We start from the raw sequence: 27040 nt of genomic DNA, 5'->3' as shown, positions 1-27040 counted from the left end.
TTTGAGGTCAACTGCATACAAAACAATTTTTAAAACATTATCCAGACACAGTGGCATGCACGCAGTAGTCCCAGCTACTCTAGAGGGCTGAGGTAGGAGTATTGCTTGAGCCCAGGAGTTCGAGGCTGCAGTGAATCATAATCATAGCACTGTATTCCGGTCTGGATGACAAAGTGAGATCCCGTCTCAAAAAGAAAAAAAAAATGGATGAAGAATTATTTTCATGCCAGGTGGAAAAGCAAGAAATAATTAGTTAACACTTGAAGATCTTTTTTAGTCTGAGTTTTTATATTTTGAAGCCATAACCCATGGTGGAATTTAAAAATACAAAATAAATGAAAGGAAAACTGAAGAGCAGACAAATTTCAAGGTGTGACCAAAGGAACTATTTTCAAATATGATCTCTGAATCATGTAGAACTTCAAGGAAAAAAATCTGAAGACAGGAACTGTTTCAATTTCTTACCTTTGCTCTGTATTAAAGAGTGCAAAGATGTGCTTGCTAGACATAAAGCTCTTTTCCACATCCCGAACTTTCAGGTTGTCCAAGGGAAGCATGTACTTCTTTTCTTTTTCCTATTATAAGAGAGAGAAAGAAAAGAGGGAGAGGAGAGGAGAGGAGAGGAGAGGAGAGGAGAGGAGAGGAGAGGAGAGGAGAGACAGAAAATTGACTTTAATAAAAGATCTTGAGGCATGCCAATGGCAACACATCACCTGAGTTGGCTAACACTTGATTACACTATCTTGATAATATCATCACATGCCATTTTGATACCAGCTATTAAGGAATAAAAGTTATTAGAGATAGGAGGCCCCAGTGATTCTCAACATGTGGTTGGAAAAATGGCGGGGGGAATGGTGTACAGGAAGGGCTCTGAGATGAAGAAAACACATGGTCCTCCGTCCTTTCCCCCTCATGTGGGTCCTTTTAGATGTTTTTAAATGTTAGTTTGATATTAAGACTTTAGCCATCTGTTAATATTTAACAAAAATGTTCTGGTCCTAATTCAATGAGAAATGCCAGATGGATTTCATTTCTTGTTTTATTTGCAGCCTAAGCAGTTTTGATAGCCAGTGTTGGCAGGGGAGTGGAAGCACAGGACCCCAGTATGAAATACCCCCCATAAACTATGATAAAGCATAAAAAGTACTTGCTCATTTGGGTCTAGAATAAAATATGAATTCTGAAAAAGAATTATTCCATAAAATTGTTGAGCTCTTTGGGGAAAAATTCATTAGAAGTGGACTGATATTGACTAGAACAAACTCTCTTTCAAAATAAACAATTGTTTAGGAAGAATATGAACATTGAAGAGGTAAGGTCTGCAAATGCGACCAAATTAGTGTTAGTAAAACATTGGATGCCAAAAAATTATTGGAAACATTTACTTTTAGGGACTGGCCCACGGGCAATATTATTTACATGTAAAAATGCCTAACAACCAGTAGGAGAGAGCCAAATACTCAATTTAAGAAACCTAGTAAATACCTATTACCAGGGGTATAACAAGCGCTGCCCTTGTTAACCATGGTCCTCTGTATGGTCCCAGGTTACATCTCTGGTGTTACCCGTGAAAGAGAGCAGGGCTAAAGTCCAGAGCTGGAGAGAATGGAGACTTAGTCATAACTTTTAATAAACGACTATTAATGCCCATGGGAAATACGTGCATCATACAAATATGTCTGACATAAATCCTTTTGTTCCTACAGCATATAGACTACTTCCTTAAGAATTTGTAGCTCAGCTGCATAGCATAGAGCTCTTCTGTGCTCCCTAATCAGTTTGTGGGTAACATGTTGTATTGTAGGGAGTATCACCCACCTTTCCACTTCCTACTCCTAAATTAATCAGAAAAAAGTTGGGCAGAGCACATTAGAATAGCAAAAAGGTAGCATTCTACTTGGCTACAAAAATAAAGTCACGTGTGAACAGGTGACTGAAAACATTGAAGGAAGTCGCTTAGAGAACAAAATAGCTGTTCTGACAATGTCTCCAAAGAAAAGAAGAAACATAAAGGAAACTAAATAGGAGTGAGAGAGGCTCAACAATAAACATGAAAAAGTAAAGCACTGCAAAATTAGTCCAATATTTCTACAACAAAAGTTAAGAATATATTATCAAACACAAGAATATTCTAAACAGCAAATACATAATTTAATCGTAAATGAGATACCATAGTTGAGTCCAGCTTTCTCAAAACAGTTGTCAAACTATTTTAGGACAGAATTCTAAGAGGCAAAATTCTAGGCCTAATGAAAATCTATCCAATACATAATCAAATGAAAATGCTTGAGACCCAGGGAACATTTTTTTTATTGAATGTTTTTCAGTGCCCTAAATTTAAGCAGCTGGATTCTTTTAAACTACCATCCTATTCAACCTTTTGAAATGATAGATTTGCCTTTTAATGGGAAATCTGAATTTCATTGTAAAGATGGAACACAATGTCCTTGGCTTGTTTTCTATAGAAGTAGGCTCTCTTTTATACTGCATTCTTTAGCATATCGTGAAGACCAAAACTCCAGCAAGTTTATGCCAGATATTAAACATGAGAGAAATACACACACATATGCAGCCTGGGGAACATGAAAAATGGTCCTCATATCCAAAGTACTAAATGTCATTTATCCCAGGCTTTGAGGACACATTGCTAAATTATTTCATAATCAAAACTTTGAAGACTGACAAAGGAAGAAGAAAATGTATTCAGACATGTATTTATTAAAGTTGTAAGTCAAATGGAGAATTAAATGAGACAGCAGCAACTCTAGGCAATAAAAAAGTATATCATGGATATTTCTAAAAAGTCTTGGTGCTTTGGGGAAAGAATGATGTTCTGCTAAAAGAACATCATGAATCTAAAATAGCTAAAATAAACAAAAGAAATAGAGAAGGAGAAATAATATACAGAATTATAATTTCCAAAATACAGTCTTAGCATCATCTTAATCAAGAAGTGTGCTAAATCTTTTTTGTCAGTTCTATGACTGCCTAATAATGTGCTGCCCAATATGGTAGCCACTAGCCACAGGCAGTTACTGAGCACTTGAAATGTAGCTCAACTGGGATTAGCTAGAAATGCAAGATAGACCCCAGATCTCAAAAACTTAAAACGAGAATGTAAACTATATTGGTAATACTTTTTAATTGATTATATGTTGAAATAACATTTTGAATATATTGGGGGTAAACAAAGCATTATTAAACATAATTTCACCTGTTTTTTCTTACTGTTTTGAAGTTGGCTGTCAGACAATTTTAAATGACATATGTAGTTCCATTAAATTTCTACTGATAGCACTAAATACCCCATGTACTTAACTCTTTCCTTCCTCTCATCCATCCAAACAGTTTTTCCTTCTGACCTCCCTGTTTCTGCTATCAGGTTTATCCTTCATTCTCCCTGTCACCCCATCTGAAACCTCACTATCATTTCTGACCCATCGTCTTTTCTTGCCTCCTTTATTACTTCAAGACTTTGTCACATCGTGTTTGAAGAGTTTGTCCTAGTTCCCCTCCTTTGACATTCCCACAACATTATTCCAGGTCCCTGGCATCTCACAAGCATGTGGTCACAAATGGTCTCCTATCTAGTCTCTTGCCTTCCAATTTCTCTAACATCACCAGAGAAGATGATTTTTGAAAACGATTTTGTCAAATTCATTGCAATCCTTCAGAACTTTCAATAGCTTTCCATTGTTTATGGAAGAAAATCCACTAACCTCTTTAATGTGAAGAGGTTTAAAAACACTTACAAATTGGCTCAATCCTGATTGGCCAATGTCTTCTTTTCTCCTCCATAAGAAGTTTCTGTTTCAACCAAATACATCTTTTCCAAATACATCTTTTCCCAACTTGAGATATTCCTTCAATAGTTCCCTAACATAGCAATGTTTAGTATTCAGAGTTCAGTTCAAGTTCTACTTTCTGTGCAAAAGATTTTCTCAAACTTGTAACCATTTGTCTGTTTCTGTCACCTCCCATCTCTCTCCCTTATATTAATATAATAGGTATTATTTATTCTATTCATTTCAAACTATACGAGACAGCTTCAATTTATAAGTGCATTACATTTGAAAATTTATGTGAACGTTGCTCATTTGGAATTTAGAATGTTCAGTCAACTCTCTTGTTTAAGTAGCTTATATATTGTTTAAGCAGTTTATATAAGCTTACACAATATAGTTGTTTAAGTTGTTTTAATTTATTTTTAAAATATGTGATATTTGTTATAATTATTCCCTGGCTTGCTCTAACATTCTGAAAGATAACATTCTTTCTCAAGCTAATAAATAATCAGATTAGAAACAAGTTTCATGACAGACTAACAGATAATATTCTATGTTATGGAGAAAAACAAAAATTTACAGCATTTTTTTGTAATAAATAAGAAATGAAATTTGATATTTTAAACATTTTATCTTGAGTAGACATTTTGAAGGAAGCACTGGTAAACTTCTAGAGAAAGATTTTTTTAATAGAGATTCATAAAAGAACTTCTGCATACTTTCAAAGGCTTCAGAGGCTGAGGTCACTGATTCAACACCATTCTTTTCTTCATATTTAAATATAGTATCTTTCCTCAATACAGGAGGGTCGCCAGCAATATTTCTATGGGAGGCATCCAGGATGATAGAGATATTTTTGTTCAAAGAGAGAGGGAACATGAGAGCATCAGTGTAGTGTTCTTTCCCTGAATTCACTTGGCAAGAGTTAGAAGAAACGGAAGAAACAGATCAGGTCCAAAAAGGGTGCATCTTTGTGTGAAAGGGGTCTGAGGTGGAAGTAACTGAACAATGAGTAGTAAAAGGCAGAGGAACCAAGGTGGTAGAAGGTGGGAATTATGGGATGACTACAGTATGTGCTCGCTGACCTTGAAAGGAAACCAGAGAGTCAATGAGAGATAGGTATGGGCTTGGCAAGTGCGCAGTGATGGTCTCTAGCTGGCAGAGCACCATCAATATAACTTAGGCACTAGAAGGAGATACAATGGGTATGAGCAGAGGATCAGGTGTGTGGGGGAATAGCTCCTGCATATGCAAAGGACCTGCATATGCAAAGGACTGGGAGGACTTTATTCACGTGGCAATTTATACATAGGGAGTTTCATAACTTGAATTATTTGAGTAGCCTTGGTTTGATGACAGCTTTAATTATTGTATTTGTTCATACCTTTTCTTCTATTAAAGCAACAACATCTTCAAAGGTAAGACTATGAGTCCTTCCTTGTTTCTATATAATGCCTAGCATGATGCTAGGCATAAAAATTCTTACAGTGTATATTATAAATATTATTGAATTGATTTGAAAATGTCTGACAACCAAAGCCAGGTGTTGATTAAGATGTTTGATAGTCACATATATATGATAATCAAGTAAAAATTCTATGAAGAAAACTATATGAAATGCTTAACTGACAGACACTGCTTTTGACTACTAAATCTTTACAAAGTCTAGACTGATTGCCATGTTTATTTCTATCTCTGCCTTTGTGTTGTCTTCTATTTGCCAGGAACGCCTTCTCTGAAAGAAGGCAGGTTCTTGTGGCCTTGAAATTTATTTCAAGGCCACCTCCTGATTATAGCACATCATAGACCTTTTTCTTCTATAACTCTCAAATTTTCCACAATTTTTGTCATAGGCGATCTAGCATGGCAATCTTTATTTATGTTTAGCTTGCCTCTTCAAGCACAGATTGGAAGTTCCTTGAGGGTAAAGATTATGTCATCATTCTTTTGTGTTTACATGTAACAGTTATTACATTGGTGTATATACAGACATTGCTTAATAAACATTGACTGCTGATGATCCATAATAAATAAAACCCCAACATGCTGGGCCTACCTAGACCATTGTGTAAAAATTAACCAGAGGTGAATAAAAACACTTAGTTTTAATGCTTCAAAGATTGATTTTAAATTAACTTACAGTATTTTGCTTAGCATCATACAGTTTGTTAGATGAAGTTTTACTAACCTAAACCAATATCTCTGATTTGATTCATACAAACCTTTAACACATAAATGTACTGTGGTAATCCAATATACTTCAAAAGCATACAAAAAAAAGCATAGATTCTGCTCCTAGGAGATATGAACTGATGAAAAGTTTTCAAAAATGGTAGAACTTAAAAGAGATTATATTAGAATAAGAATAAGAATAAAGGCCAGGTATGGTGGCTCACACCTGTAATCCTAGCACTTTGGGAGGCTGAGGTGGGTGGATCACCTGAGGTCAGGAGTTTGAGACCACCTGGCCAACATGGTGAAACCCTGTTTCTACTAAAAATACAAAAATTAGCTGGGTGTGGTGGTGGATGCCTGTAATCCCAGCTACTTGGGAGGCTGAGGCAGGAGAATCACTTGAACCCAGGAGGCAGAAGTTGCAGTGAGCCGAGATCACGCCATTGCACTCCAGCCTGGGTGACAAGAGCGAAACTGTCTCAAAATAAACAAATAAATAAATAAATAAATAAATAAATAAATAAATAAGAAATAATAATAGAGTAATAAAGAGAAATATTAACATACGAAAAAGCCGCTAATGGCACCAAATATGTTTTTTAAATATGCACTAATGGCACCAAATTAATTTTTTAAATATGTGATATTTGTTAAATTCTTCACTTGCTTGCTCTAACATTCTGAAACATGACAATCTTTCTCAAGCTATCAAATAATCAAATTACAAACAGGTTCTATGACAGACTAACAGAATATTCTATGTTGCAGAGAGTACTTATGCTTCACTAGAACAAAGATTCCTAGTTTTTACCACCCCCTTCTTATACTCATATAACATTCCATGTGTGTTCTCTATTATTGTATTTGCCATATTTTATACTCCTAATTGTTGTCTTTTTCTCCTATTGAGAAACTGATATTTATTTGTCCTCTCTCAGTGCTACACTACTCTCCTGGCAATGAATGGAACATTTCTCTGACACATCCGCACCAAAAACGTGCGTAGACCACACGCGAAGTACCACTGTGCCAGCCAACAGAGGAGTAACAGAATGACTATGCCACCAAGAACTCAGTCCAAAGACAGGACAGTAGTGCATAGATATGTCCAAGTTAAAAAGATTCCTCACCCAGGGACGATAAATGTTTTTGCAGAATACTGAAAACTCATGAGATACCATGGAGTATTCAATTATTATAATTTGCTTGTTGCTCAAGAGATAATAATGTTGATCAATATTTTTCCTAACAAAGTCTCATTTTTTTCTTTGATGCATTGTGGCCAGAATGTTTGCAAGCAGGGAAACTGGAGACATTATCCTGGGTTTATGGGTAGGGACCAAAGCCAAGAAAAATGTGATGGCTCCATATATTAATCCAAGCCCTTCATGCTCTGAGTAACTGACACAGAGTTATGTAACCATACATATTCATCATGCTCCTCACCCACACCTCATTTTCTGAGACACTGGATTGCCCGCCAGAGTAAATTCAAACTCTTCACTGTACCCACTGCACCAGCCATGGGATTCCTGCTTCCCAGGAAAGTCCATGCATTTTCATTTTCCACACAGAACGTTTCTAATTGTATCTTCTCATCTTTGACTAAACTATCTCTTCCACTAGAAATACCTTTGCCTATTTGCCACTCTGCTTCTCTTTGCCTCAAAAGAGATTATCTAGCTCAGACTTAATTTACATTTTTTTCTAAAAGTATTATAGGTCTCATTTTCCAGCCTTCTTGTCTTTTCCCATCACAATTGCAGACTTATTTTTTTAATCAGTAGAATCCGTTGATTAAAAAAAAATTCTGACAAGTCCTATATATTAAATAGATTAAAAAGTGGAGCTCCTCTGATTGCAGCAAGTGGGGCTATGAGGAAACCTGTCCATTAAACTCATCTTCTCACCCTGGTATTGCCTCTAAGACACCCCTGGAATGCCCGTTGATAGGGTTTGGCTCTGTCTCCCCATGCAAATCTCATCTCTAGTTGTAATTCCCAATGTTGGAGGAAGGACCTGGTGAGAAGTGATCGGATCATGGGGGTGGATTTCCCCCTTGCTGTTCTTGTGGTAATGAGTGAATTCTCATGAGATCAGATGGTTTAAAAGTATATGTGGCACTTTCCCCTTAATTCTTTCTCTCTCCTGCCACCATGTGAAAGAGGTGCTTGCTCCCTCTTCACCTTTAGCCGTGACTGTAAATATCTTGAGGCCTCCCAGTCATGCTTCCTGTTCAGCCTGCAGAACTGTGAGTCAATTAAACCTTTTTTCTTCTTAAATTATCCAGTCTCAGGTAGTTCTTTATAGCAGTGTGAGAATGGACTAATACACCTGTGGATGACTAGAACACAGGCCTAAATTTCCAGATCCTTGTTCCCTAGCCGGTCCACCTGGCAGCCTTATCCTCCAAGTGTTCCCACAGTGGCAGGACTCTGCCCTGACCTCCGTCTGGCTGGAACCTTATGGTCTGCCCTCTGTCTTCAGGTGCTCTACATGGAGCAGCTCTATCTAGCTCCCTGTGACTTCTAACTGAGCAAACACGTCTCCCAGAAATGTGAGTGCAGTTCACTGAACCTTTCATTCAAACTACTCCTGTGATACCATGTCTACCCAACCAGGCACTTTGATGTGTCCACCAAATCTCAGTCAAGCCTGTGGTGCTCTAGAGCCATCAGAAGCTCCCACCATGGCCAGCATGGCAAGGGCCTCCTCCACCATTGCCAGGATTCCTCACATTCCCATCTGATCCCTTGTGCTTGGTTCCTCGCACCCTGGTCGGATACCCTGTGCTTGGTTTACACTGTCACTTTGTGCTTTTGTCTTACTTTCTAAGAGTCTATATGTTTCACCTAAGTGTGTCTATGCTCTGCCTTTCCAACTACAAGATAAACCCCTAAAGAAACAAGCAACTCCATTACTATTATTACCTTTATTTATTATCGTTGTTAATCATTCTATGTGTCTTGCTCCCCTGTTACTCTGTAGTTGTGTGCTGACTTTGCTACCAAACCATCAACTCTTTGAGGAAATAAATTATTTCCTTATTAGTTTTGGTTGCATCATAGACATTCAGCAAACACTTGCTGAATGAACATATGAACAGCCCCCTCCTGGGCTGGTATAGTGCTTTGCCTAGTTCAAGGACTCAGAGATGATGACTGACTCATACAATAATCAAAGTATCAAAGAATAATGAGAGGCTATGCAAATATTGAGAATACCAGAATAATATTTCCACATGCTGTTGAAAACTAAAATCTGGTGTTTATTGCTTTTAAGAAGTTATAACTTTATAGCAGCATGATTTATAGTCCTTTGGGTATATACCCAGTAATGGGATGGTTGGGTCAAATGGTATTTCCAGTTCTAGATCCCTGAGGAATCGCCACACTGACTTCCACAATGGCTGAACTAGTTTACAGTCCCACCAACAGTGTAAAAGTGTTCCTATTTCTCCACATCCTCTCCAGCACCTGTTGTTTCCTGACTTTTTAATGATTGCCATTCTAACTGGTGTGAGATGGTATCTCGTTGTGGTTTTGATTTGCATTTCTCTGATGGCCAGTGATGATGAACATTTTTTCATGTGTTTTTTGGCTGCATAAATGTCTTCTTTTGAGAAGTGTCTGTTCATGTCCTTTGCCCACTTTTTGATGGGGTTGTTTGTTTTTTTCTTGTAAATTTGTTTGAGTTCATTGTAGATTCTGGATATTAGCCCTTTGTCAGATGAGTAGGTTGCGAAAATTTTCTCCCATTTTGTAGGTTGCCTGTTCACTCTGATGCTAGTTTCTTTTGCTGTGCAGAAGCTCTTTAGTTTAATTAGATCCCATTTGTCAATTTTGTCACATGCACACGTATGTTTATTGCGGCATTATTCACGATAGCAAAGACTTGGAACCAACCCAAATGTCCAACAACGATAGACTGGATTAAGAAAATGTGGCACATATACACCATGGAATACTATGCAGCCATAAAAAATGATGAGTTCATGTCCTTTGTAGGGACATGGATGAAATTGGAAATCATCATTCTCAGTAAACTATCACAAGAACAAAAAACCAAACACCGCATATTCTCACTCATAGGTGGGAATTGAACAATGAGATCACACGGACACAGGAAGGGGAATATCACACTCTGGGGACTGTTGTGGGGTGAGGGGAGGGGGAAGGGATAGCATTGGGAGATATACCTAATGCTAGATGACGAGTTAGTGGGTGCAGCGCACCAGCATGGCACATGTATACATATGTAACTAACCTGCACAATGTGCACATGTACCCTAAAACTTAAAGTATAATAATAAAAAAAAAGAAGTTATAACTATAGAGATGTACAAGTATGAAACTCAAAGTATAAACTATGCATCTTTTTATTTGGATTTTAATTCCTTGCTTTAATCAGAATTATATTTTGAATAGTAAAGAGCATCTGTGAACCAGCAGGTTGCTCATCAACAGCACTTTTTAACCTTTTTCTCTTGAGCACTGTATAAACTCCCTGTGTTTGATGGACTGTTCTAGTAGTCTCAAGAAAACTCCACGGTCTTTAGACCACTGGCTTCATGGCTGCACCCTCGTACCTACTCAGATCCTGAAAGGGAGCTACACACTAGGATATCTCCACTTGGCAGGAGAAAGATAACCAGTCACACTTGACATTACCCCAGCTGGAGATCCTGCTCTCTTCCTGGTTCCTACCTCCTCTTCAGAGTCCAGCTCAATTTCCACCTCCTCCAGGAAGGCTTTCTGGCCTTACAAGCCCATGGGAGGGCTCCCTTTTCCATTCTCATGACATTCTTCGGCCATGTATTTTTTTCCTCACTTAGCATATATTGCCCTGTATTCTCAGATACAGCTAATATCCTTGAAATGCACATTCCCCTTTCCTCCCACTAAAAAAAGTACTTTATAATTTGAAAGTGAGAACATTAAGGATTTTGTTCTCATATATTTATATTTAATCTCTATATTCTTAAATTTAGAGAAATAGTCCTACATATTTGTACATATGAGATTGGTAATGTAATAATGATAAACACACTAAAGAATAAATTTAAAGGACTTATGACTAAAGATGGCAGATCGATCATATATATGTATCTCTTCTCCTTCTCCCAAACCTACTATGATATTATAATAGTAAAATAATTTAAAAAGATATTAATCCACAATAACAAAGAAATGGGAGAGGAAAAATAGTGAACAAAATATTTTCAAAAGCTTTCTAAGAGAGAAGAGACAAAGGAGGATTTGTTGACCTAGCATAAAGAAAAGGGTTATTCTCCAAATACCTACAGGGGGAAAGAATGGAGGAGAAACCACCTCATTTGGCTTCTTGTCCTTGGAGACACCTGGTACCCACATGCGTGGGTATGGTAGTGAGGTTGTGGCAGCGGGATCAGACAGAAGTCCATGTATAGAAGCATACAAAACAGGCCAGGTACAGGAGCTCATGCCTGTAATCCCAGTTGTTTGGGGAGCCAAGGCAGGAGGATCGCTTGAGCCCAAGAGTTTCAGACCAGCCTGGGCAAGATAGTGAGACCATGTCTCTCCAAAATTTTTTTTAAAAAACTAGCCACATGTGGTGGCGCCTATGATTCCAGATACTCAGGAGGCTGAGGTGGGAGGATCACTTGAGCCCAGGAGGCAGAGGTTGCAGTGAGCTGAGATCATGCCACTGAACTCCAGCCTAGATGACAGAGTGAGATCCTGTTTCAAAAAAACCAGAAGTACACAAGACAATTGTTGGCACAGGACTACCTTTTCTACTCACGGCAACTCATTCTTACCTTCAGCAGGAGACAAGAGGCTTTTTTCCTAGAGAAATTATACCAAAGAAGTTTCAGGCTGAGAGATACCAGGCAGGGTGAACAGCAAGGGGTGGGGTCAAAACCAGAGAGTTTAGTGAAAGTCTACATACTAAAATGTTGTCCTTCAGCCCATTTCTTGCCCTGCCCCAGAACGCCAGCAGCCAGATGGGCTTCCCTGTCCCTACCAGGAAAGATAGTGAACTCTTCTTCTCTGGGGACTCATAGATTCAGGGGAAATGCCCTGTACACCATGAGTTCAATGAAAAAGCCAGGCTGCTGACTGATCACCTTATAGGAAGATTCTGTATTCTGCACACTCCTCCAACAATTTTCAAGCAACTGAATGGCACAGAATCTTAATAGATTAGACAAGTCAAGGCTCTTAACTGGAGTGGATTCTGAAGATGGGCTATCTCAACACTTCTTCCAATGCCCTGTAATGTTTGAGTGCAATTCAAAATCCTCTCACCCTTCCCAATCTTGCTCTTACAGCCAGAGTTCCAGATGAGATATACTTTCTGCCAATCAGATGTAGTCATGCCAGACTTTGTTTCAAAAAATGAGTCAAATGAGAGACCGGCAGAGTGTGTGGCACCTGTTTTGTTGGCCTGAATCACAGCAGAGGTGATGGGGCTCTGGATCCAGAGGCTACAGTGGAACAGTGGCTTCCTGATTATGCAGCCTCCAGATTGGTGGAGACAACAGCTCCTTGGCAGTCCCAGGAAATTCTGTTTTGTGAGCCATTCCTGGAAACTCAGCCTAGTTCTGCAAGTTTGCCCTCCCAATGATTCTCAGAGTGATTTATCCCTCTTAATAAATTATTTTCTACTTAAACTAGCTAGAGTTGATTCTGTGGTTGACAATTAAGAACATTGAAAATAGTATAATAATATCTAGTCAACATATATTATTATGGCTTAGCAAAAATGAATAGCCAGTAAAGCAGAACAATGGCATTACCCTGCAATACTTCCCACATAATAAGAGTCAAAACTTACACAAATCAATTATTAATATGTATGTATGCCATACGTTTATGCAGTTTTGAAATTCCAGGACTTTTTGCTCAAAAAGAGCTTCTAACCAAGAAATACACACGTGCACACACACACACACACACACACACATCTATGTATATATACATATATATGATAAATACCATGCATGAAAAATTTTAAATTGAGAATTCAAGGTGTGAGTGAGAGAGATGGCATTTGAGCAACTTTGCAAGAAACTAAATAAGGCAACAGAAAATAGTAGAACAGAAAAAAAAATCCTGGTGGTTTGCATGTTCATAAACTTTTACAAACTACCTCTATAATAGCAGTACTACTATTCATGGGTTAAATTTTCTTTACTAGTGAGCTAAGTACAGATACTTAGTGTTTTATACTTTTTCAGTTACTAGGAAGGGAAAAATTTACTCAGCATGGCAAAACACGCTTCAAGCACTTCAAATTAGCCCATTTCAAATGCTTAATGGTTGAATTTTCCTATTTCTTTTTGTGCTCCAAGGCATTGCAATTTATATTTTTTAAAAAAAGAAACTTTCAAGTTTAGAATAGTGATTGCTTTACTTGAAAGTCCATGTAACATGCTATGGATTTCTATTATTAAAATGCAAAGACAAATGTCTTTCAACTCTGACTTATGTGGCTTCACATTAAATTACAAAGTAAATTTAAGACACTCCACAAACTGAAATTATGCTTACTGTGTAACAGCTTTTGAGTGCACATTAATCAAACATAATTCTACATGCTAGCCCTTTGGATGTACTTGCCTTAAATAACAGTGTTATTTTGGCTAAATATACCATATGTTTGTAAAAGTTCAACTTAATAAAAGTACCTTGTTTACAAATGCAGCATGATTTTTACTTCTCTGAGAAAATGGAGGTCAGAAAATCACTGTACAAATAAAATCCTCTGACAATTCCCAGAACTCAGTAGATGAATGGTTTAAATTTCCCCCCATCATTTGTCACCAAGCTGCAAACAAAAATCAAAGCTGAATGTTCCCCTCTCTCTCAAAAAGAGGCAAAGAAACACTCAAAAAGAGGCAGCACTAAGGAGAAAAGCAAAGGGCCTGAGCATTCAGCCAAATAACCAAATTAATGAAGGTTTCTGAAGCCCTTTGCATTGACTGTTGAACTGTTGTAGGTTTTGGTTTTTTCCTCCACTGACAGTAACGTGATTCTGTGAGGTGTATTCTGAGAGGAACATAGTTTCTTTGAAAAGCAGAGCTGGGCACCATGCCCTTTGTACTTTAGTTAAGAGCCCTTCTCCCTGTGTTCCAAGGAGTACAGGAGTCTGGGATAGAATAGGGAAAAGGGGGCCCCTTCCATGTGCCTTCTGAGACTCAGCCCTGTATTTAAGATGATATTTGGCTGGATCACTGCAAGCACAGCTGGTGGTCTGTGCACCACTACTGGCTCCAACACATCTCCATGCCGAAACTGGGCTTTGGACAGGGAAAAAATAAATGAACTGGAATAGTTCCCCTCCTCCATCAATCCTAATCATGCCTCCTAGCCTGCCCACTACAAAAAAAAAAAAAAAAAAAAGAGAAAAAAAAAGACAGGGCTGGAGAAAAGAAGAAGCGGAGGGGAGAGAGATAACCAAGAACCCAGAGAATGAACTGAGAAGGTATCATTAGAGAGAAATTAAAGCTGCCCAACCCAGAAGTGCTCTCTGTGTTCACTGCATGCTCAGGTGGCCCCATCTATCCTCAGCTTCTGGAGACAAAGACCATGGAAGAGGAATCCCATGAGGGGTAGTGCAGCAAGAGGAAATGACAAATGGTTTGGAGTTAACATAGAGGTTCACATAGGAGCTCTGACACTAGCTATGTGAACCTTCTGTAAGTTCCTCGATTTCTCTTCTCCCTGTATGGAGGTGATAATTCATGCCTCAGAGAGGGTATGGAGATTTGAGACCATGCAGATGACCGTGTATTCAGGGACTTCGGATACATGTTTATTTCCTTTTCCTTGGAAAAAATTTTCTAGCCATCTTCCCACCCATAAACACAGTATGGTGTTCTCTCTTCAATGTATTTACAACAGCAAGCTTTTATACTTGTAAGCTTTTGAACTGTGAGGGAAAAATAGAAAGTTAATTATGTACCTAGTAGAGAAACACACATTGAACATGAACAATAGCAAACCAGGAGGGTGTGAAGCAGCGAAACAATAGTGAGAGCCTATTTAAACTCTGCTTTCTTATTAAAGGCAGACATGCAAGAAATCCAGAATTCTGGGACTGCGTCCATAGCCATATAGAGAGAGGGAAGATGTGACTACAGGCTGAGAGGGGGTACTTATTTCTTCCCCTTGCACTCACAGTGGATTGTGCAGAAGAGGTCAAGGAAAGTACTTGGGGAAAAAGGCAAGTTCTGGAAGAAACTGAAAATTGAAAATTCCGCAATTAGAGAATCATTTGCCTTTTGTGGCAGAATGTTCTTCCACATTAAAAACTGAGCAAGGGTCTCAAGACTGGCTAGAAAACTGTAAAGTGGGAAAGGGTGTTTTTTTTTTTTCTTATCCTGAAGTCTTCCATTCAGGCAGCTTTGTTTTTCTGTTAGCTTCAAACAGAGATGGCCTGGGTCAGCTGCTATTGCTGCTGCCTAGTTTCTAGGTTTCTCCCTCTTATATCCCAACAAAGCTTCCCCTCTCGTTCCATTTGTTCTGTATTACCAACTGGATTTCAGGTACCATGAATGGGACTGCATGCTTACCTCTGCCGATCTCTGATACTAGCAGGTACTTAATACATGCTGACTTACGAAGATAACAAAACTCACCTATCCCATGTCTCATTCCCCTAGGCTTTGTTTCATGCATAATTAGAATAAATTAATGCCTGCTACAGAATAAACTCTTATTAATTATTCTTCCTGGGTAATATATTTGAATTTAAGTTGAGTCGTTCAGTCCTTCCATTTACAAGGAATGAATTATTCATGTACACTAGCAAATTAGTAGGGGTGAGGTTCTTGGCTTAGGTTGCCCTTAAGTCATCCCAGTGGGTAGCTGCTTAATCCAAGGTTGGACATGAAAACTCTTGACAGCTTCTCCCAGCCTTAAACCAGGAAGTGTAGGGCAGTATTTCTCCAACTGTAGTCCTCTGACCCCCAGAGTCTGTGAGTTCTTGTGAGAATTAAAAAGAAATCTTGTGTTGGTATCTAATAAAAATTAGTAAAAGAGATTTGCTGAACTGTCTGGGGCATGACTTTATAATTGGACACCACCATTCAATTTTAGTGCTTGTGTTTGCACCAAGTGGTAGTAATGTATTTATAGTATGGTAATGAAAAAAAGGGCAGAGGCAGACATCAATACATCAGTTATGTACTTTCCTCCAGTGACATCACAATGCCTTGAGTGGATGGAAGTTTCATTCCAACAGAATGAAAGTGGCAGCAGACTGGTGGGGTCACCCAGTACAGGGGAGCCTGAGAACGCCAGTCTCCAAAGAACCCATGCCTGAACACATTGCTTTTGATCAGCTAATTATGTTTCCTAAAAGAATATAATCTCTCACATTAATGTTGTTGATCAGCTAAAGTTTCTCAGTAATATGGTTCTACTTAAATTTAACCTGTAATTTTGGTTGGCTTTTTTGATGTAGAACAATAAGCATAATGTATGTATATGTTTGTGGATATGTAAAATAAAAGAATTTTCTGTTTGTAAATACTTAAGTAACATTGTGAGTAAAACAATTTGTGTCCATTCAGAATCCAAGAGGACTCATCCTTTAAAAGATATTTGTACATTACCCAAGTTTTAGAGATATTGATTTAGAAAAAGTGTATTTGGAATTCTCTCGAAAGGGTTGAAGTATTCAAAATAGGTACAAACAAATGGCCTTGACTTACAAATAATTTGGATCAGAGCTTAGAAATTGCTTTAGCTTCTAACTGCCCTCAGTAAGACCAGCAGAAAAGTGCAGATCTGGCCCTCAGAACCTGGGAGGCCCAGGCACGGCTGGAACATACACTGGGTGTCCTTGGGGAGATTGTTTTCCTGCTCTCTGCTTCAGTTTCACCATATGTAAAGCAGGGATAATAATACTAACCTCAATCCTTAAGTTCAAAAAAGAAAAAAAAATAAACCTAACTTTATGAGAACAAAGAGGCAATAGATACAAAAGCATTTTCATCTTTTCAGGGGGAAGAAGTACTATTTTAATAAGGAACTCTTGAAAATATCTCAGCAACATGCATCTAATTCATACTGACATATGTAATTGAACCTATGTTTAATTTCGCTGCAAATTATCTGCTTCCTTTAAGAAACTGGGTTGGTAAAATGCTGAGTTGTGTGGCGCAAACTAAAGAGCTGTAGAAGAATTAGAAATATTGGCGAAACGATACAATAATGTTCGGCCCTTAATAAAACAGGAGAGAATGAGTGAGATAGAGGAAGAGGAAGAGGAAGGGAGAACTGTAGACAAAGGTTCCAAGGGTAAGAAAAGCTGCTTCACATCCAGATATCCTCAAGAAGCTGACAGAAAGGAATAGCAAGGAAGTAGGGTAGTGGCAATTTTCACACCAGACCTCTTTAATGTCATAGAAAAAGTTTAGCACAGGCAAGACAAGACCAATGAAGAACCAGAGCAACACAAAGAGAGATAAACAATGTAAATGTAAATATTGAGTTTCATTCCACTTTAGTTAACAGAGTATGTATTCTCCTCTTCCTCCCTCTGTCCTCTTCTCTACCCCCTTCTTCTTCCCCTCCTTTTCCTTTCCTTTTCCTCCTCCTTCTCCTCCTTTCCTCACTTGCTCTAAGCTTAAATACTGAGTTATAATCCAGAATAATATCTCAATATGAAAACCCTAATGATTATATACAATGATAAATCGCAGATTCTTTTCTTATTTTTAACTACCAATGTTAACAAGTAACAGCATTCATTAAAATAAAACTAGAAGTGGTCAGAGCTATCCTGCCTTTCTAGAAATACCACCCCTTCTCTCTCTTTTCTCTCCATGAAAAAGTCTCAATTCTTGAAGTATAACAAAAACATCGTACTACATTATTTTTTATAGGTTCTTCTAGGAAGTTTTCCTTGACATGAGACATGGCACGTCTTATTTAAAAGAACACTTAGCTGCTCTGTGGAGCTATGGGTTGGAGGTAGGGGCAAGAGCAGGAAAACCAAAGAGTAGACTAACATGGTAGAGGAGGAAGGAGACAGAGATCCTTCTAAGTAATTTAGTAGTTGAGGACAGCAACAGTTAGGTTTGGGAACACATTTTGGAGTGGAGCACTGATTGGCAAACTATAGTCCCAAGAGCTAAATTTGGATTTGGCATACGCCTGTATGGCCCCAATAGCTAACAATGTTTTTTACTTATTTTTTTTTATACTTTAAGTTTTAGGGTACATGTGCACAACGTGCAGGTTTGTTACATATGTATACATGTGTCATGTTGGTGTGCTGCACCCATTAACTCGTCATGTAGCATTAGGTATATCTCCTAATGCTATCCCTCCCCACTCTCCCCACCCCAAAACAGGCCCCGGTGTGTTATGTTCCCCTTCCTGTATCCAAGTGTTCTCATTGTTCAATTCCCACCTATGAGTGAGAACATGCGGTGTTTGGTTTTTTGTCCTTGCGATAGTTTGCTGAGAATGATGGTTTCCAGCTTCATCCATGTCCCTACAAAGGACATGAACTCATCATTTTTTATGGGTTCATAGTATTCCATGGTGTATATGTGCCACATTTTCTTAATCCAGTCTATCATCGTTGGACATTTTGGTTGTTCCAAGTCTTTGCTATTGTGAATAGTGCCGCAATAAACATACGTCTGCCTGTGTCTTTACAGCAGCATGACTTATAATCCTTTGGGTATATATCCAGTAATGGGATTGCTGGGTCAAATGGTATTTCTAGTTCTAGATCCTGAGGAATCGCCACACTGACTTCCACAATGGTTGAACTAGTGTACAGTCCCACCAACAGTGTAAAAGTGTTCCTGTTTCTCCACATCCTCTCCAGCACCTGTTGTTTCCTGACTTTTTAATGATTGCCATTCTAACTGGTGTGAGATGGTATCTCATTGTGGTTTTGATTTGCATTTCTCTGATGACCAGTGATGATAAGCATTTTTTCACGTGTCTTTCGGCTGCATAAATGTCTTCTTTTGAGAAGTGTCTGCTCATATCCTTTGCCCACTTGTTGATGGGGTTGTTTTTTTCTTGTAAATTTGTTTGAGTTCTTTGTAGATTCTGGATATTAGCCCTTTGTCAGATGAGTAGATTGCAAAAATTTTCTCCCATTCTGTAGGTTGCCTGTTCACTCTGATGGTAGTTTCTTTTGCTGTGCAGAAGCTCTTTAGTTTAATTAGATCCCATTTGTCAGTTTTGGCTTTTGTTGCCATTGCTTTTGGTGTTTTAGTCATGAAGTCCTTGCCCATGCCTGTGTCCTGAATGGTACTGCCTAGGTTTTCTTCTAGGGTTTTTATGGTTTTAGGTCTAGCATTTAAGTCTTTAATCCATCTTGAATTAATTTTTGTATAAGGTGTAAGGAAGGGATCCAGTTTCAGCTTTCTACATATGGCTAGCCAGTTTTCCCAGCACCATTTATTAAATAGGTGTCGAAGATCAGATCGGTGTAGATCTGTGGCATTATTTCTGAGGGCTCTGTTCTGTTCCATTGGTCTATATCTCTGTTTTGGTACCAGTACCATGCTGTTTTGGTTACTGTAGCCTTGTAATATAGTTTGAAGTCAGGTAGCGTGATGCCTCCAGCTTTGTTCTTTTGGCTTAGGATTGACTTGGCAATGTGGGCTCTTTTTTGGTTGCATATGAACTTTAAAGTAGCTTTTTCCAATTCTGTGAAGAAAGTCATTGGTAGCTTGATGGGGATGGCATTGAATCTGTAAATTACCTTGGGCAGTATGGCCATTTTCATGATATTGATTCTTCCTATCCATGAGCATGGAATGTTCTTCCATTTGTATCCTCTTTTATTTCGTTGAGCAGTGGTTTGTAGTTCTCCTTGAAGACGTCCTTCACATCTTTTGTAAGTTGGATTCCTAGGTATTTTATTCTCTTTGAAGCAATTGTGAATGGGAGTTCACTCGTGATTTGGCTCTCTGTCTGTTATTGGTGTGTAAGAATGCTTGTGATTTTTGCACATTGATTTTATATCCTGAGACTTTGCTGAAGTTGCTTATCAGCTTAAGGAGATTTTGGGCTGAGACAATGAGGTTTTCTAGATATACAATCATGTCATCTGCAAACAGGGACAATTTGACTTCCTCTTTTCCTAATTGAATACCCTTTATTTCCTTCTCCTGCCTGATTGCCCTGGCCAGAACTTCCAACACTATGTTGAATAGGAGTGGTGAGAGAGGGCATCCCTGTCTTGTGCCAGTTTTCAAAAGGAATGCTTCCAGTTTTTGCCCATTCAGTATGATATTGACTGTGGGTTTATCATAAATAGCTCTTATTATTTTGAGATACGTCCCATCAATACCTAATTTATTGAGAGTTTTTAGCGTGAAGGGCTGTTGAATTTTGTCAAAGGCCTTTTCTGCATCTATTGAGATAATCATGTGGTTTTTGTCGTTGGTTCTGTTTATATGCTGGATTACATTTATTGATTTGCATATGTTGAACCAGCCTTGCATCCCAGGGATGAAGCCCACTTGATCATGGTGGATAAGCTTTTTGATGTGTTGCTGGATTCAGTTTGCCAGTATTTTATTGAGGATTTTTGCATCGATGTTCATCAGGGATATTGGTCTAAAATTCTCTTTTTTTGTTGTGTCTCTGCCAGGCTTTGGTATCAGGATGATGCTGGACTCATAAAATGAGTTAGGGAGGATTCCCTCTTTTTCTATTGATTGGAATAGTTTCAGAAGGAATGGTATCAGTTCCTCCTTGTACCTCTGGTAGAATTCGGTTGTGAATCTGTCTGGTCCTGGACTTTTTTTGGTTGGTAAGCTATTGATTATTGCCTCAATTTCAGAGCCTGTTATTGGTCTATTCAGAGATTCAACTTCTTCCTGGTTTAGTCTTCTGAGGGTGTATGTGTCCAGGAATTTATCCATTTCTTCTAGATTTTCTAGTTTATTTGTGTAGAGAGTTGTTTATAGTACTCTCTGATGGTAGTTTGTATTTCTGTGGGATTGCTGATGATATCCCCTTTATCATTTTTTATTGCATCTATTTGATTCTTCTCTGTTTTCTTCTTTATTAGTCTTGCTAGTGGTCTATCAATTTTGTTGATCTTTTCAAAAAACTAGGTTCTGGATTCACTGATTTTTTGAAGGGTTTTTGTGTCTCTATCTCCTTCAGTTCTGCTCTGATCTTAGTTATTTCTTGCCTTCTGCTAGCTTTTGAATGTGTTTGCTCTTGCTTCTCTAGTTCTTTTAATTGTGATGTTAGGGTGTCAATTTTAGATCTTTCCTGCTTTCTCTTGTGGGCATTTAGTGCTATAAATTTCCCTCTACACACTGCTTTAAATGTGTCCCAGAGATTCTGGTATGTTGTGCCTTTGTCCTCGTTGGTTTCAAAGAACATCTTTACTTCTGCCTTCATTTCATTATGTACCCAGTAGTCATTCAGGAGCAGGTTGTTCAGTTTCCATGTAGTTGAGCGGTTTTGAGTGAGTTTCTTAATCCTGAGTTCTAGCTTGATTGCACTGTGGTCTGAGAGACAGTTTGTTATAATTTCTGTTCTTTTACATTTGCTGAGAAGTGCTTTATTTCCAACTATGTGGTCGATTTTGGAACAAGTGTGGTGTGGTGCTGAGAAGAATGTATATTCTGTTGATTTGGGGTGGAGAGTCCTGTAGATGTCTATTAGGTCTGCTTGGTGCAGAGCGGAGTTCAGTTCCTGGATATCCTTGTTAACTTTCTGTCTCGTTGATCTGTCTTATGTTGACAGTGGGGTGTTAAAGTCTCCCATTATTATTGTATGGGAGTCTAATTCTCTTTGTAGGTCTCTCAGGACTTGCTTTATGAATCTGGGTGCTCCTGTATTGGGTGCACATATATTTAGGATAGTTAGCTCTTCTTGTTGAATTGATCCCTTTACCATTATGTAATGGCCTTCTTTGTCTCTTTGATCTTTGTTGGTTTAAAGTCTGTTTTATCAGAGATTAGGATTGAAACCCCTGCCTTTTTTTGTTTTCCATTTGCTTGGTAGATCTTCCTCCATCCCTTTATTTTGAGCCTATGTGTGTCTCTGCATGTGAGATGGGTTTCCTGATACAGCACACTGATGGGTCTTGACTCTTTATCCAATTTGCCAGTCTTTGTCTTTTAATTGGAGCATTTAGCCCATTTACATTTAAGGTTAATATTGTTATGGATAATATCTTGCAGAGTGTTTTCCAACTTGGTTCCATTCTCCCCGTCACTTTCAGGTACACCAGTCAGATGTAGATTTGGTCTTTTCACATAGTCCCATATTTCTTGGAGGCTTTGTTTGTTTCTTTCTATTCCTTTTTCTCTAAACTTCTCTTCTCGCTTCATTTCATTCATTTGATCTTCCATCACTGATACCCTTTCTTCCATTTGATCGAATTGGCTACTGAAGCTTGTGCATTCATCACATAGTTCTCGTGCCATGGTTTTCAGCTCCATCAAGTCTTTTAAGGACTTCTCTGCATTGGTTATTCTAGTTATCCATTTGCCTAATCTTTTTTAAGGTTTTTAATTTCTTTGCCATGGGTTCGAACTTCCTCCTTTAGCTCGCAGAAGTTTGATCATCTGAAGCCTTCTTCTCCCAACTTGTCAAAGTCATTCTCCATCCAGCTTTGTTCCATTGCTGGTGAGGAGCTGTGTTCCTTTGGAGGAGGAGAGGTGCTCTGATTTTTAGAATTTGCAGTTTTTCTGCTCTGTTTTTTCCCCATCTTTATGGTTTTATCTACCTTTGGTCTTTGATGATGGTGATGTACAGATGGGTTTTTGGTGTGGATGTCCTTTCTGTTTGTTAGTTTTCCTTCTAAGAGTCAGGACCCTCAGCTGAAGGTCTGTTGGAGTTTGCTGGAGGTCCACTCCAGACCCTGTTTGCCTGGGTATCAGCAGCAGAGGCTGCAGAACAGCAAATGTTGCTGCCTGATCGTTCCTCTGGAAGTTTTGTCTCAGAGGGGTACCAGGCCGTGTGAGGTGTCAGTCTGCCCCTACTGGGGGTGCCTCCCAGTTAGGCAGATTGCCTCCTCAAGTGGGTCCCTGACCGCCAAGTAGCCTAACTGGGAGGCACCCCCCAGTAGGGTAGTTGGATATCCAAGTTTGGAGTTCAGAGTTGGAGACATAACTATGGTAGTCACATAAATATGGCATATTGATGGTATTTAAATGAGATGAACTCATCTAGGAGCTGAACTCCTAGATGAGTTCAGCTAGAGAGGATGTATGAGGACAGAAAAGAGGAGAAGATCTATGTCATTTCAACATTTAGAGGTAAGAGAGAGGAAGGGCAAACTAGTCAAAGGGGACTAAGTAAGTAGAATGGGAAAAACCAGGAAAATGTAATGTTATGGAAGCCAAGAGGAGAATGTGTTCTAAGATGGAGGGAGAAGTTAGTTACATTTATTTCTAAGAAATGCAGCAGGATATGGCTAGAAAAGTAACCACTAGAACCACAATTTTGGTAGAGTGCTGGAAACAGAAGTGTGCTCGCAATGGGCTGAAGAGGGTCAAAGAGAATGAGTAAACAGAGGAAGTACTATACACCCATGAAACATTTAACATTCAAGCTGTAATAAAAAAAGAAACGGTAAGTAAGAAAATAACATTCATTTGAAGGAACATTCTAATTTTGTTAAAACACTGTTACTATATTTATTTTTTCTCATTTTCAAATAGCATGTGTCCTATATTGGGCATGAAGTAGTTAAACAAAGGATTCTTTCCTGAAATCAATAGAGCACCAAGTGTTCAGCAAAACAATCAATCCCCTACAAAAATATGCAAACTTTTACAAAACATACATATTGTAAGGAGGTAGGGAGAGTCCATAGCTTTAGTCAAATTCTCAAAATCAATTGAATAATTTAATTTATTAAATGCTGAGATGAGGAAGACAGAGTTATGATTTAGTGAAATTTCATGGGTGTGTTATCACATCCACAATTTTGTTCAATTGAAAAAACCCAGTTTTATAGTTTGTATCCTAATGAAGAGCTTTGTCCCCATGAAATAATAAATCTCGCTCATTCTCACATGGGGCAGAGCCAAGATACACAGAATTCTCAGAATATAGGCCAAACAAACAAACAAAAAACCATGACAACATGGCAAAGCCATCATCAGAGTTATAGGTTAAGCAGGAAGTAATAGTTTTGACTCCCCTAGTGAAAGAATTAAAAAATAAAACCCTTCAGTAACACTAGAGAGGGAGCTTTGAATAAAAGCAAGAGCAAAGGATAAGAGTTGTCTGTGCAGAGAAATAATGAACTTCTATGTCAATACACTGTCCTAGCAAAGACCAGCAGAAGAAGAGAACAGGGTGGCATACACAAAGAAGAATCAGCACAATTTGGACAGTGACAGAAGGAGCATTCTCCTCACCAGTTTCTCAGTGAGGAGAAGCTAGAAATTCTAGGACCCCAAGAAGCACACATGTATGTATGTGTGTGTGTGTGTGGCGTGCGTGTATGTTTTGTAGTATAATCTATGTTATTATAATATACATACATATCTATGTAATGAAAAGGATGTAGTTATTATTCCATGCCACGGACTCAATCATTCTCACAAAATATTAATCACTTGGGTTTTTAAATTCAAAAAGTTATTGCTAGAGTTAAACCTATGGATAGGATAGATCTAATGATTATTAAAGACAACATTTTCATATGTAGAGTGGGAAAAAGAGTTCACATCACATCCTGTAGAAACTGCTTTAGCTGGGCATGTGTCTGTCTGAGTGTGCTGTTCATTACAAATAAATGCTACTTAATTAGACACTTATATACATTCACCAGTTATTTAATTGCCATTTGATTGTGAGTTCTTACTGACTTTCTCAGATTGTTTTATAACATATATTTCAATTATTTGTTTTATACCTGTTTTTCCTATTACACAATAAGTCACTCCAGAGTAGAGAAATGTTTCTAGTTCTAGAATTCTGAACATACTAAGTCTCAATAATTGTTGGTTGGTTGAATGTGAATTAAGCATAATGGTTGGTTGACTGAATTTAGAGTGTTTATGAAGCCCAGTGAGTTCAAATACTCATTGATTTCCCAGATGTGTTTCTTCATTAAGTAAGACCAGAAAAATAATGAAAGCCTAACTCGTTGGATACTTTACAGCAAAATCTTGGCCAAACTAGCTTTTCATGGAAATAGCATATAGATAAGATGTTATTTAGAAATGACAGGATTCTGAGGTACAGCTTGCATTGAGCCACTTGGAAAAAGTGTGTTTCATAGTAGAAAGTGGCAAAAGAAGAGGTCTTTGGTGACAATGATTGATAAAAATTTTAAAAAATTTATTTTCACACTTTAGACTCAACTTGTGGGACTGCACTCCAAATCAACCATTAAATGAACGTAGGGTATCTACTAAAAAACATCTGGTCATAAACCTACCAGAAAATGTGCAGTCTTATATGAATACATTTATAAAATTATTCTGAGGGATATATAACAAAGCTGAAATAGAGAAACAGATCTTGGATAGAAATCTCAATATTTAAAGTTCTAAATTCTCCTTAAATTATACAGTGATATAATAAAATCTTAGGCAAAAAAACTTTGGAACAATTTTATGAGAGGTAACTTGACAAAATGATTGTAAATTTCATTTGAAGAACAGGCAGTTGCAAATAGCCAGGAAAATTCTAAACAATAACCAAAGAAAACAAAAGTAATCAGAGGGAAAATGCCCTTCAAATATTAAGATTTAAATTTAATATAAAAATTAGACAACAGAAGCCTGTGGTAAAAGTCCACTGGCAGGTCAGGTGAATAGAAGAGAGCGAAGAAAGAGTGAAACCGACCTGAGAAGTTAGTTTATGATAAAGGCGGCATTACAAACCAGACTTCTGAACAAATAATTTTAGGACAACTGGCTTCTCATCTACCCTTCCCCACAAAATAGAAATTTTAGATAGGTCAAATCTCAAAGCCCCAGAGTACAAAATAGATGACAATTTGGGAAGATTGAAGTTAAAAGAAAAAAAAAAGACATTTGGCATAAAACCTGAAACTATAAAAGACTCATAGCAATGACACACTTCTTCATGGCAAAATAATGAACAAAATTGAAAAACAGATGATAAATTGAGAAAAGTATTGGCAATATATATGAATAAAAGTTAATAGCCATAATACTCAGAGAGCCATTAAAAATCTGTTTAAAAAAATAAACACCCTAATAGAAAAGTGTCAAGGAGAGTATTAGTAGTTCTCAGATAATGAAAGACAAATGCTAAATAAAACATGTTACTAAACTTCAGTAATAACCAAAGAAATGCACATTAAAATTACACATGTGTGTGAACTTGTATATTAGACTAATAATATCCACTATGACCAGATGTGAGGAAATGGATATTTTTATACACCATTGGCTGGAATATTAACTGGCACAGCCTTTTGGAGGAGGGGTGGATGTGAAAACATCAAAATTCAAAATATATCTATCTTCATTTCTCAAAAGAAGATATACAAATGGCCAAAAAACATGAAAAAATGTTCAACATCACTAATCATCAAGGAAGTGCAAATTAAAACCACAATGAGATACCACCTTACCCCAGCCAGAATGGCCATTATTAAAAAGTCAAAAGACAATTGATGTTGGCATGGATGTGGTAAAAAGGAAACACTTATACACTGCTGGTTGGAATGTAAATTAGTACAGCCTCTATGGAAAACAGTATGGAGATCTCTCAAACAAAAGTATATCTACCATTCAATCCAGCAATTCCACTACTGGGTGTCTACATCTACCCAAAGGAGAAGTTACTGTATCAAAAAGACACTTGCATGTGTATGTTTATCATAGCATAATTCACAACCGCAAAGATATAGAACCAGCCTAAGTGGCCATCATCTGACGAGTGGATAAAGAAAATGTGATATATATATATATATATATATATATATATATATCACAAAATACTATCCAGCCATTAAAAAAAAAGAATGAAATGTTATTTGCAGCAACTTGGATGTAACTGGGGGGTGATTATTCTAAGTGAACTAACTCAGGAATGAAAAACCAAGTGCTGCATATTCTCACTTGTAAGTGAGAGCTAAGTTATGAGTATGCAAGG

At 37.9% G+C, this 27040-nt stretch overlaps 1 protein-coding gene across 19 annotated transcripts in view, besides 1 other annotated feature; it reads right to left on the bottom strand.

Moving 5' to 3' along the window:
* Window positions 1–27040, bottom strand: part of DNM3 (dynamin 3) — a 576969-nt gene that overhangs the window by 164319 nt on the left and 385610 nt on the right. For 16 of the 19 annotated variants that reach the window (NR_146559.2, XM_017000979.2, NM_001350206.2 and 13 more), the window contains one exon: window positions 466–575. The exons of the other annotated variants lie outside the window; for them this stretch is intronic. Coding sequence is in view for 15 of the 16 variants with exons in the window: in XM_017000979.2 (XP_016856468.1) it covers window positions 466–575 (110 nt within the window). In the remaining variant the exon portion in view is untranslated. The remainder of the gene's footprint in view (window positions 1–465; window positions 576–27040) is intronic. 19 annotated transcript variants of the gene reach the window in all.
* Window positions 24993–25193: a silencer, noted in NCBI's record as "peak456 fragment used in MPRA reporter construct". NCBI's record gives its function as "represses an SCP1 promoter by STARR-seq MPRAs in K562 erythroleukemia cells {active_cell/tissue: K562}" and the evidence as "EXISTENCE:reporter gene assay evidence [ECO:0000049][PMID:32103011]".

Source organism: Homo sapiens, chromosome 1 (genome assembly GCF_000001405.40).
Source record: "Homo sapiens chromosome 1, GRCh38.p14 Primary Assembly".
Taxonomy (NCBI): Eukaryota; Metazoa; Chordata; class Mammalia; order Primates; family Hominidae; genus Homo; species Homo sapiens.
The sequence above is the reverse complement of the archived record's forward strand: the minus strand, read 5'-3'. Positions and strand labels throughout refer to the sequence as shown.